A 12,915-nucleotide genomic window follows, 5' to 3' on the forward strand; every position below is an offset into this window, starting at 1 on the left:
AGTGTGTATATATGATAGTGACCAAGAATCAAGCACACTTCCCATTGGATGCCTTGGAATTAAGCCAATGCACTGGAATGTAGAGGCAACCCTTAGGGGTATGTGGCCGTCAAACTAATGAAATGACAGAAATTAATTTCCATTACCTGGTTAAATGGAAGATCAAAATGAAAATTCAGGCCAATTACAATTTTTTTTTTTATTTTTTTGAGACAGAGTTTCGCTCTTGTTGCCCAGGCTGGAGTGCAATGGTGCAATCTCGACTCACCTCAACCTCCGCCTCCCAGGTTCAAGCGATTCTCCTGCTTCAGCCTCCCAGGTAGCTGGGATTACAGGCATGTGCCACCACGCCCGGCTAATTTTGTATTTTTAGTAGAGACGGGGTTTCTCCATGTTGGTCAGGCTGGTCTCGAACTCCCGACCTCAGGTGATCCGCCCACCTCGGCCTCCCAAAGTACTGGGATTACAGGCATAAACCACAGTGCCCAGCTGCCAGTTACAATTTTTTAAAAGACATTTTGAGCATATCTGAGTTTGTAGTAGAGTTTCATTCTAGCTACAAATTGCACTTCACTGCCAGGTACTCAATGCTCTTTGACCTCCAGACTTTCACCATCTCCATCACAATTAGAAAAATTTTCTCAACAGTTGTTGGGTCTTTGCATCATTCCCTCCAGATCCAAAGTCCAGGGCAGGAGCAACTGACTGGCTAAGTTCATGTCACACACTCGCACTCAAGCAGCCAATCAGAAGAGAGAGGTAGTACCTGGACTCTTTTCGTTTCCATAGAGGAGAGGAACTCAGCTAAGAACCATCAGCTACCAAACTCCCAGCTGGGGTAATAGGCACTTCATTCCTGAAAGGAAATATGGGTGCTGTCCATAGCAACTGCCAGAAACCTTTGGGTAGGAACCTGAGGCAAGTTCAGTAGTCCGCCCTTATCCGTGGGGCATGTGTTCTGAGATCCTCAATGGATGCCTGAAACCACGAATAGTATTGAACCCTATACACTATGTTGTTGTCCTATACATATATAGTTATAATAAAGTTTAATTTATAAATTAGGCATAGTAAGAGATTAACAACAATAATAACAAAACAGAACAATTATAACAATACTCCAGCATCACTTATCTTGCATTTTTTGGGCATTAAGTAAAATAAAGGTTACTTGAACACAAACACTACAATACTGTGACAGCCGATCTGATAACTGAGTTGGTTTCTAAATGACTAATGGGCTGGTAGCATGTGCAGGGTGGATACACTGGACAAAGGGATGATTCACATCGTGAGCAGGATGGCACAAGATTTCACCCCAATAACAATGTGCAATTTAAAACTTATGAATTGTTTATTTCTGGAATTTTCCATTTCATATTTTTGGGCCAAGGGTAACTGAAACCACAGACAGTGAAACTGAAAATATGGGGGAACTACTGTACTCATATGAATTTTGGCTTTTGCTCTGAGTTAGATGAAAAGTCAATGAAGGATTGCTAATAGCAGAGTATCAGGACATAAAGAATCTTTCTGGCTGTTCTTTTAAGAATAAACTGTAGAGAGCAAGGACTAAAGCCCTGAGACCAGTTGGGAGGCCATTTCCGTTTTAAAAAATGGATGATAGATGGACCACTAAAGGGTGGGTGAACAGCGGATAAGTGTTGTGTGAGCGTGTGGACTAACTTGTCTATCTCCACCTGTGCTGAAGGTTTGTCTTGTCTGAAGCTGTTGAGTATTGATAGAATGATGCAATTTTAGTCATGAGACTGTAACCAGGCCCCTTGAGATTTCAGCACCCCAGCATTTTTAGTGACTAAAATAATGAAAATGTTTTGCACTTGCTTTTTGCCCAATATTCCTTGTTTCCACAACAAAATTATTTGTTGCAAACAAACAGTTGCTGATGTGCTGTTTCCTTGTTAAACGGAGAGATAACTTCAGGGTCACGAAAAGGTTTGCAAGAAGAAATGAAAGACTTTAAGGACGTTGTGACTAGCTGCTGACTCCCAGAGGTCTAGTTGTTCCAGGTGTTACCTGAGAGGGAAGAAACACAGGCTTTTCCCCTTTGTTCCCTGAAACTTCCCCTCCCCTACTCCCCAGCCACATTAAAAGCCCACTTTGTTATTGTTGTTAAGGTGGAATTGAGAGCTCTTACCCTTCTGCCTTCTTGCTTTGGTTACATTGAATAAACATTTCTCCATCTCCAAACACCCATGCATCAATGTTGGCATCAGCTGCCCATTGGGTACACAAGCCTGAATCTGGGGTTCTATGACAATTCTGGCGACCATGGAAGAACCTTGTGCCCATGGCTGGGCAGTCCCAACCAGGATCTGCGTGCACAGGGAGTCCCCAAAGCTGCCTAGGCACCTTGCCTGGGGGACACCCCTCACTGGTTCCTTTCCTGCCAGTGGTGACCACTTTTGGTGCAATGCTCGCTTGGAGTGAAGACATGTACCTGACTTTGGTGTACTTTTGGATTTGCATTTCCTGGGTGAGTCACCACGACCTTTGTGACAATTCTCACTGGATAGTGATCTGGATAGCACCCCATTTGACCCCAGTTTCATAGCACAGGAAGGACAACGGATAGGCCCAGCCTTACCTGAGTGTGGCAACTGTCTAACAGATCCAGGGCTAGGGAATGTGGCTTTAATGACCGCCTCAACTACTGACACTGTGCCCTGTGCTCCTGAAGAATATGTTTCTTTTCTCTTTCCCTTCCCTTCCTTTCCCTTCCCTTCCCTTCCCTTCCCTTCCCTTCCCTTCCCTTCCCTTCCCTCCTTCCCTTCTTCCTTTCTTCCTTTCTTGACAGAGTTTCCCTCTCTTATCCAGGCTGGAGTGCAGTGGCACTGTCTCAGTTCACTGCAACCTCCACCTCCTGGGTTCAAGCGATTCTCATGACTCAGCCTCCTGAGTAGCTGGGATTACAGGCATTCACCACCATAGCCAGCTAATTTTTGTATTTTTAGTAGAGACATGGTTTTGCTGTGTTGGCCAGGCTGGTCTTGAACTCCTGACTTCAACTGACCCACTCATCTTGGCCTCCCAAAGTGCTGGGATTACAGATGTGAGCCACCATACCTGGCCTGCTCATGAGGGATATGTTTCGATCTGCAGTCAGGAAAACCAACCCTGGGCCTGTAGGTGCATTAGGAGGGGAGATCATGGACAACGTTTATTAGGATACTCAGTGACATCTTTCTCGGTACATAATGAAAGTGTTACCAAACACCGGACAAGTTCCCTAAAACTGTTGCCCAGGCTCTCCCAAGGAATTTTGGAAGGAGATTCTGTCTGTCAGGGACAGGGTGGTCTCTGAAGTGGATTTGCCAGGATTCCTGATGACACAGGGTACTTCTTCAGATATACGTTGCTCCCATGGTGGGGAGTGGCTGTTTATCACCACGTGCTTAGAAACATGTCCATTACTTAAGGATTAGAGCTAAAGAAAGGTGCTGCTATCACAGCACAGCAAGTCTTTGGATTCTCTAGCTAAAGTTGTTTAGATAATGGGATAGCATTAGATTACCTGCTGGCTGAACAAGGCCAACTCCTCCTGTTTGTCTTATATTAACACCTTGGCTGAAGTTGAAGTTGAAATGCAGGTAGATAAAATAAGAGAGCAAACTTCATGGTGGCAACAGATAAAAAGAAGATTAACTAGGATTAGGTGATTGGTATTCTGGATTGTTTTCTTGGATCTCACAAGGGATCCAATCTGTATTTTCTGGTATCGTTACATTTGGCTTATTTCTCTTATCGTTATTGTAAGTTATGTTTTCATTAATGTCATCATCAAATATAGATTAAGATGCTGCTCCAAGACTACAATAGGTAACAGTACCCAGATAATGGAATTGCAGTATGCAGGATATGGGCCCGGCCCCTGGAAATACTTTCAACTTCAAATGGATAGATTCTGCTCTTCAGTTTCCACACCTTTGCCCCTTTTTCAGCAGGAAGTAGCTAGAAAAGAATGACACCCCTTTTCCTACATGAATGAGGAATGGAAAAAGGCAGTGGGGATTTGTAACAGGGCCCCTTGAGATCTCAGCATCCAAGCATTTTTAGTGACTGAAATAATGAAAATTCTGATCAGGCCCTTGTTTGCTTGAACTTGCTTTTTGCCCAATATTCCTTGTTCCCACAACATAATGATAAACTGCTGATGTACTGTTTCTCTGTCAAGCAGTGGGAGTTAACTTCAGGGTCACAAAAAAAGTATCCAAGAAGAAATAAATGTCTTTAAGGATGTTGTGACAAGCTGCTGACTCCTAGAAGTCTGGTTGTTTCAGGTGTTATCTGAGAGTGAAGAAACACAGACTTTTCCCTTGGTTTCCTGAAACTCCCCCTCTCTTACTCTGCAGCCACATAACTCTCTGCTTCTTTTTCTTAAGGTAAATCGGAGAGATCTTGCCTTGACCAAATTAAATAAACCTTTCTCTATTTCCAAGCACTTGTGTGTCAGTGTTGGCATCAGCTGTACGTTCGGTACAAGAGCCTGAATTTCGGATTCTATGACAAGATTGGGTGGTTAATGCAGATACAATTGAATTATAGAGACAATGATCACATTTTCTGAATCTCAAGGCCAGATAGTTCTGGTGTTTCATGAGTAGGAGACAGAGCTTAAAGCCAGTGATTTAGGTGTTGAGCAATTCAGGAATTTCTAGGACATTTTGGTAAGACAGAATATCTGATTGGTGTTAGCCATGATTTAGGTGTTGAGCAATTCAGGAATTTCTAGGACATTTTGGTAAGACAGAATATCTGATTGGTGTTAGCCATGGAGAATGCTCCCTCTTGTGAAATGTTGAGAAGGGAAGAGAGAGTGAGGGTGGGTGGTATGGAGCCAGGGGCTAGGAATGAGGCAATCTCTCTTTTGTGGAAGTCCTCAGTAGGTTGGTGTGACTGCTGCTCTCCAACCTGGAAAAAGAAGACAGCGGCCATGGGAGACATTTAGGATTTTGTCTCAGGTTCTTCCCAGAGATGATCCAGGAATCCTGCTTCCCGGTGTTCTCCACAAAAGGGAGATGTGTTTGTTGCCTTGCCAGCATAACTTGGTGTTTTAAAATTTTTCTGATACAACCTTTAACTGGAAATCAGCCCCATGGGGGAAATCCTGAGATCCATGACAGAGTGAAGCATAGCCATTATAACCAGGGACTTTGCAAATATACTGACATGAGCTCAATGACCAGCTCTGCCACTTTCCAGCTGTGTGGCCCTGGAAACATTACTGCTCTGTTTTATCCTTGGTTCCTCATCTACCACTGCTTCCTAAACTTGAGTGTGCCCACAAATCACCTAGGAATCTTGTTACAAGGCTGGTCATGAGATTCTGCATTTCTAACAAGTTCTCAGGTGACCTGGAAGCTGCCTGTTCCTGGAGCATGCCTTGAGTAGTAATCTGATTTTTAGGGTTACCCTGAGGTTAATGTGTATTATTTATGAAGAGCTTAGCATGGAGCCTGGCATAATGGTTTGGAGTTATTGTTCCTCGGGCAATGGGAAGCAGCTGACTTGGACTTTGGGGGAGGACTCTGAATCAGAGTGGTAAGTAAGGGACAGTGCCCACATGAATGCCCCCTCTTCAATTCTGCCCTCCATCCCAGAGGAAGTCTGGAAAAATTATGGATTGGGGGGTTTACAATGCAATGGAAAAGGCCTTTTGGTGGGACCAAGGATGCCTCTGTTTTGTTCCCAACCTGTGATCTTAAAGAAGTCCCTCCGCATCTATGGGCCCTCTTGAAATAAATGAAAGAAATGATTCCTGTGTTTTTCTCCTCTCTCTCCAAGTTGTTGTAATTGGTGTTGCTTAAGGCAAACCAAAAGACTCTAGGACCAGGGCTCTTCACTCCTCTCCCCATGTAGCCCTTGGTAGGAAGATGTGGTTGAGCCTTAGTAGATAACAGCTTTCATAAAAATTCACTTTTTTTTTTTTTTTTTGAGACCAAGTCTCACTCTGTCACCAGGCTGGAGTGCAATGGCACGGTCTCGGCTTACTGCAACCTCTGCCTCCTGGGTTCAAGCGATTCTCCTGCCTCAGCCTCCCGAGTAGCTGGAACTATGTAGTGTAGTAGCATGCGCCACCACACCCAGCTAATTCTTGTGTTTTTAGTAGAGACGTGGTTTCACCATGTTGGCCAGGATGGTCTCGATCTCTTGACCTCATGATCCACCTGCCTTACTCAGCCTCTCAAAGTTCTGGGATTACAGGTGTGAGCCACCACGCCCAGCCCACTACTTTTTTTTTTTTTTTTTTTTTTAATTAAAAGTGTCCTTAACATCTTCAGTTTCTCCCCAGCTCCCCTTTCTTCCCTGGTTTCTGTTGTTTCCTTGTTTCTTATTTCACAAGACCAGAAATCCCCTCCTTGTCCAATGTAGGCCCTTCCAATGTTGTACCCGAATTTCCAAATCCACCCTCTCTGTCCTTCAAAACCTTTATCTCCCAGTGGGTTAAGCAGTAATTCATACTAAGGTGTGAATGGTTGCTCTAAATTTCCCCAGTGTATTTGTAAGTACGTGTATGTTTTAAAAAGGAGGTCTTGAGATTGTAAACATGATTGCAACATTTATAGAATTTCAGGCACAGAGATGAAGCACTTGTAGGAGCACATCAGGGAGAATAAATGTGGGGGTAGAGGAATGAACCTCTTGTTCACACACACACACACACACACACGCAAATGCCTTCTATGGCCCTCAGAGCAATCCCGAATCCATGGAGGGCTGTGTTCTTGTTAGAAAATCAGGTGAACTTGCAGAATTTCTCACATTTTTCTTTCCTCAAAAAGTTGTTGCTGTTGCCTCCGCAGCCTCCGTAAGCAAATAACTCACATTCACCAGTTTCAAAGTTGAAAAACCATCGCGTCATGTAGGTTTGACAAGGGCCCTTTTCCATAGGAAAAGCGCATACATTTGGGAGGAGATCCTTGATAGTGTCTGAAGAGAGAAAGTGGTTGAAGGAGACCAAACCCATCACCTTCTCCTTGTTTGCCTCATATGCCAGGGGCTGTGACAGCCCTGGGCACAATTGTGAGGCCATCCACAATGGCTGTGCTCTGTACCTCTTTCTACCCAGCTATGGTCTGATCTGTCTACACAGAAGTTGACATTTTCACTTCTGAGAGTAGCCTGATGTGGTGATAATCATAGGCTTGAGAATATAACTCAAGTGGATTGAGATCCTCGCGCAGCCACTTGCTACTGTGTGATGTTGTATAAACCTAACTTCTTCATGTCTCCATTTCTTCATTTGTAAAATCAAGGAGTTGAACCACATCATCTCTGAGTTCCCTTCCAGATCTACTTTTATAGGATTTGATAATAAAGATCCTCAGGTTTCTACCTCCTGTCTCATAATCAATTCTAGAATCAATATCCTATGAGAGAAGGAGGACAGACTTTGAATCTGAGAGCAAGATTGAATCTGAGAGGGTTCAAACTTGTCTCAATTATCTTCTAGCTATGTGATCTTGGACAAATGACTTATCTCCTTGACATTCAATTTCCTTCATTGCAAAAATGCAGGTGTAATATCCACATTTTTGGTTTATTGCAGGGTTAGAGATTACCAGTGAAAAGCATTGATAAATAGAAAATAAATCAATAAATAGTAGCTGCTCTTAATCATTCTATTTCTTAACCAATAAGACTCTTGAGAAGAGGGACCTCATTGTACTCATTTCTGCAGCCTTAGTGCCTAACACAGGCCTAGTTCTCAGTTCTTAGCAAATATTTGTTAATAGAAAACCACCACCACCACCCCACTGAGCCCCTCTGGGGCAGGATTAAAAGTTTCTTTGTACCCTCCTTTTATGTTTCTGTCACCATGTGGGCAGTTTTACTCTTCATGGTAGCTAGTAGAATTTCCAACATTATGTGAAGAAACTAAGGCCAGATAAATGAAGTACCTGTCCTAATGTCAGGCTAGGAAGCAGTAGGACCAAGAATCAAACCCAGCATGGTTCGACTGCAAAGGCTTGCAGGTTCTCCATCCATCTTGGTTGTTGTAAAATGAGTGAATGCACAGATGAATGATCACACCTATGGTGGAACTTCAGGCAGCAGCCTAGGGCTTGGAAAGGTTCAGACTCTGTCTTATCCTCCTACCTGCAAGGCTGACGCTAAGGGTGCAGGAGAATGGGGAAGAGGCAGAATAGCTTATTCAATCCAGGTGGGAGGTGGAGGGGCATGTTCTTAAGACATCCTAGTCACTGCATCATCGGCCCTTAGACCCTTACAGGTGACTCTGTAGGGGCTGGAGTCCCATCTGCTCTTAGTTTTCTCAGTCTTGCTTCTCTGCTCTTCCATTCCATTAAACCAAAGGAAAATCACTTGACTTGCTTCTTTTTTATGTAAAGTAGATAATGACACCCTGTGTGTGTGTTTTGAGTGTGACAGAAGCTGTTCTAAGTGCTTTACAAGAATCTATTAAGAGCTAAGTTATACTGAGAGCTTGACATACATCAGACTATTTGATTAATAAAGCAGAAAAGATGGTTAATCTTTTTTTATAGAAGAAGAAACTGATGCTCAGAGAGGCTATAAATGATGTTCCTGAGGCACAGAGTTTGTAAGTAGAGGAGCCTGGACCAGAACCCAGGTGTGTCTGACTCCAGGAATGCTCATACTGTAAACCACTACATTCTTCTTACTTATGGCAGACATTTTCAAACTTGAGTATGCGTCAGAATCATCTAGAAGGCTTGTTAGAGAGACCCACCTCCACAGTTTCTGATCAGGTGGGACTGGGAACTAGCATGTTTCCAGTTGATACTGCTGCTGCTATTGCTGTCAGACTAGGGGACAAACTCGAGAACCACTCATCTATAAGGTTATTGGGAGGTTTAGAGTTCCATTTATGTCTAAGAATCTATCATTAATAGCTCCATGTACATACATGCAGAGAACTATGCTTGCACATGCAAGAATGTTCACTGGCACATTGACAGTGATAATCTCCAGAGGGTAAGATTTTGATAATTTTTCACCTTCTTTCTTACCCTTTTGTGTATTCTAATATGCATTTTTATACAGGGCATCCTACTGGCTGCTTAAAAATCTTGGAAACTGCTGCCTACCATCCCCATTTCCAGCAGATTATCTTAGCTATAACTGCACTTCATCTCCCCACTTCCATTTGCAGATTCCAAGCTTCCACAGAGAAAGTGGTCCAGGAAGGAGCCTTTTCTGACAAGTGCATCTAACTTGGCTAAGTCCCTCACTCTCAAATTCTGGCTCTGATCTCCTTTTCCCAACCTCTCCTTGCCTGCCACCAGCCCCACCCCAGACATTGAAGGCCCCTTTTCCTGCTTTACTTATTTCATTTTCTATAGCACTTTGATCATCTATCATTTGTATTAGGTATTGTATGTCTCTCTCCCATTAGCATCTTAATTTCACAAAGGCAGGGTCTCAGGCTCTTTGCTTTAACCTCAGCACCTAGGACAGTGCCTGGCACATAACTATGTGCCCAACATATGTCTGATGAAGTGAATTGAACTGAATTGACTCTCAATCCGGTAAGGTAAGAAATGGGCTCTGTTTGTGCTGCATCACCTCCCCCACCACCCCGCCCCCCAGCCTGATTCCCAGTCTATTCTTTGAGATCCCACATTTCATACCAACCTCGTGCTAGTTCTGATCGAAGCTCTAGGCAGAGAGTGAGAATCAGGAGAAACGAGAGAGAGGCCTGAAGCTGCATGGTGCCACTCAGCCAGTGGCTCAGCCTGGGGTTGCCATTTTAGGGAGAAAAGGGACCAAGGGGAGGAGCCTGGCCCCACATCCAGCTCATTCACCTTTAACTCAGGCTTTTCATGGGGCTGGGCTGCCTCAGGAACAGAGTGTTCAGCCAAAGCACAGCTTCACCTCTCTCCTCCTGGCCTTATCTGATCTGGCCACCCAGGCTACTTTAGTACCACTTCAGGGTGGAAGCCTTTTTCACAATAATAAAAAGACAGCAGCCATTTTTGAGTACCTTTCCTTTTCCAGGCACCATGCAAAATAGTTTTCACACATTGCTTCCCTTAAGTCTACACGGGAATCCCACAACACTAACACTCCCATTTTGTAGATGAGAGGAGGTTATGCTACTTTGACCATTGTTACATGGACAGCAAGTTTCAGAGACAAGACTGAGACCCCGGTCTGTCTGCTTCAGTGCCCTCGTATCACTCATTCATTCAACAAACATTCATCAAGTACCCACACTGCACCAGGCAAAGTATTAGATGCTGCCTCCATCCCATCTGGGTGCTCCCAGGAAATTATGGCAACAACACACACAAACACATTGGAAGTCAGAAACAGTCACCTACTTGGAGGAGGAGCAGATTCATTATATTTTAATAGAAATATCAAAAGCACCATGTAGAAGGAGGGCCCAGCTTTGTTTGCTTCAGAGGGTCATGGTCTCTAGAGACACACCCCCAGAATCCAGCACATTCCAACTGTCTCCTTTCCTTGACTCTCTAGAGATCCATTTTTTTTGAAAGACAAAGCCAGCATGCTTTAGGGAGATTTAGTGAGCCTCAGATTTAAAATTTGAGGTTGTGATGGGTCCAGCTATTCTTTTTCAAGAAGCATTCTATCATATATTTATTATTATTTATTTTTAATTGAGAAATAAAAATTGTATAAAGGCAGTCCCCAATTTACAATGGTTTGACTTACAGTGTTTGACTTTATGATGGTGCAAACACAATGCACAGTCAGTAAAAACAGTACTTGGAATACCCATACAACCATTCTGTGTTCACTTTTAGAACAGTATTCAATAAATTACATTAGATATTCAACACTTCATTATAAAAGGGGCTTTGTGTTAGATGATTTTGCCCAACTGTAGACTAGTATAAGTGTTCTGAGCAAGTTTAAGGTAGGTAAGGCTAAGCTATGATGTTTGGTAGGTTAGGTGTATTAAATGCATTTCAACTTCTGATATCTTCAACTTAGGCTAGGTTTATTAGGCTATAATCTCATCATAAGTTGAGAAACATTATATATTTATGAGGTACAATATGATGTTTTGAAATATATGTGTGTATATATATATAGAGAGAGAGAGAAATTTTCTCTCTTAGCAATTTTCAAGTGTACAATATGTTATTAACTACGGTCACCATGCTGTGCAATAGGTCTTTACAACTTATTCCGTCTGTCTAACTGAAATTTTGTACCCTTTGACCAGCACCTTCCCAATACTTCCCACCCCCAGCCCCGGGTATCCACCATTCTACTCTCTGCTTCTGTGACTTCAACTTTTTTAGATTCCACATGTAAGTGAGATCACCTGGTATTTGTCTTTCTGTCCCTGGCTTATTTCACGTAACCTGCAGGTTCATCCACGTTGTCACAAATGGTAGGATTTCCTTCTTTTTAAAGGCTGAGTAGTATTCCATTGTGTATACATACCACATTTTCTTTATCCATCCAGTGACGGACACTTGGGTTGATTTAAGTCCAGCTACTCTTGACCTGGGCAAGTCATTTAACGTCTTCCAGCCTCAGTTTTCTCATCTATAAATTGGGGTTAATTATGTTGCTTTAGCATACTTCCCAGAATTGGTGCAAGTGTTCAATAAATATTCAAATGCCTCACACATTGTGAATGCACACACAGGTATATGTCTTTTGCAAGGGATGCGTGTGTGTGTGTGGCAATGATGCCTTTTTGAAAATGGGGGTGCTAACTGGATCAGCAGCATACTTAGTTGCTACAGAAATGTTTTCCCCATCTTTGCACATTAGTTATAGCTCTTCCTTTTCTTTAAATTCCCTAGAACCATGATACTCATTCCTTGGCCATTGCTTTCTCTAACTATAGCTTATACAATTGTTGGTCGATCCTCTCATTATCTATTGATCTTTGCTGTTTACCCCACATTTATTTCCTTGAAGGCACTTCTGAAGCCTACATTGCAACATCTCTTTGGTATAACTTCTTTTGCACTTTGAGGGGTCCACCAGCATTATCCTTGATATCGCCTTTCTTAGCCCTCTTGGGTGATCAAATCTGTTCATCAGAAAACAAAATAATGATAGAAGGAAGAAATAAATAGACTGTCACTTGTTGTGCAGGCAGAGGAAAGGCGGGGGCGCCTATTGATGATCCTTGGCTGAGAGCTTCCTGCAGTGTTGCCTCCTCTGGGGCAATGGATCAGGAAGTGAGAAGCTGCCTTTAAACGTACTATTCAGGAAAGCAGGGGAGGGAGTGATACTGCCCCCAAGGACACTCGGCAATGTCTAGAGACATTTTTGATTGGGGGCATCTACTGGCTTCTAGTGTGTTGAGGCAGAGATATTGCTAAACACCCTATACTGCTCAGGACAGCCCTCACATTTGGCATCAAATGTTAATCTTGCCAAGGTTAGGAAACCCTGCAGAAGAGCAATAGATACAAACACTTTTTTAAAAAATTATAATAATATTTCCAACATTAACAGCATGATAAGGATCCAGTGCAGTGAGGGGCAGTGCCTGATGAGGTGTGTCTGTACTCGTTTGGCCAAACAGGCCTTGTGGGAAGGTGCAACAGGACCTGGCCCTTGAAAAGCTCATTCTGTACTCAGGTTGCCCTGGGGATCTTTGGTCATGACTCAGTGAATTGGCTCTTTCTCAGGAGATCTGGGTGGCAGTGTTATTGTAATTCCAGAAAGGGGAGGGCAAGTGTAAGATTTATTAAAAACACGTTAGAGCAGCTAGAAGGCAGCCCTAGCTAGTTATCTAGCACTTATATTCATTGCAGGAATCTTACTAACCCTATGTCAACCATATGTGTGTGCATGTATGTGAAAAATCATTACATTATTTTTTTAAAAACTTTAATAAATTCAGGAGCTACATGTGCAGGTTTGTTACATGGACATATTGCACAGTGGTGAAGCCTGGGCCTGAAGAGTGAA

At 43.0% G+C, this 12,915-nt stretch overlaps 1 protein-coding gene and 1 long non-coding RNA gene across 2 annotated transcripts in view; one reads left to right on the forward strand and one right to left on the reverse strand.

Moving 5' to 3' along the window:
* Positions 1 to 12,915, forward strand: part of LOC107987282 (uncharacterized) — a 52,776-nt gene that overhangs the window by 18,282 nt on the left and 21,579 nt on the right. The window lies entirely within an intron of this gene.
* Positions 6,568 to 9,729, reverse strand: SPINT3 (serine peptidase inhibitor, Kunitz type 3). Its single transcript, NM_006652.2, has 2 exons — positions 9,640 to 9,729; positions 6,568 to 6,951 (listed from the first exon to the last, which is right to left on the reverse strand). The coding sequence occupies exons 1-2, from the start codon at positions 9,713 to 9,715 to the stop codon at positions 6,758 to 6,760; spliced, it is 270 nt and encodes an 89-aa protein (NP_006643.1). The 5' UTR covers positions 9,716 to 9,729; the 3' UTR covers positions 6,568 to 6,757.

Source organism: Homo sapiens, chromosome 20 (assembly GCF_000001405.40).
Source record: "Homo sapiens chromosome 20, GRCh38.p14 Primary Assembly".
NCBI lineage: Eukaryota > Metazoa > Chordata > Mammalia > Primates > Hominidae > Homo > Homo sapiens.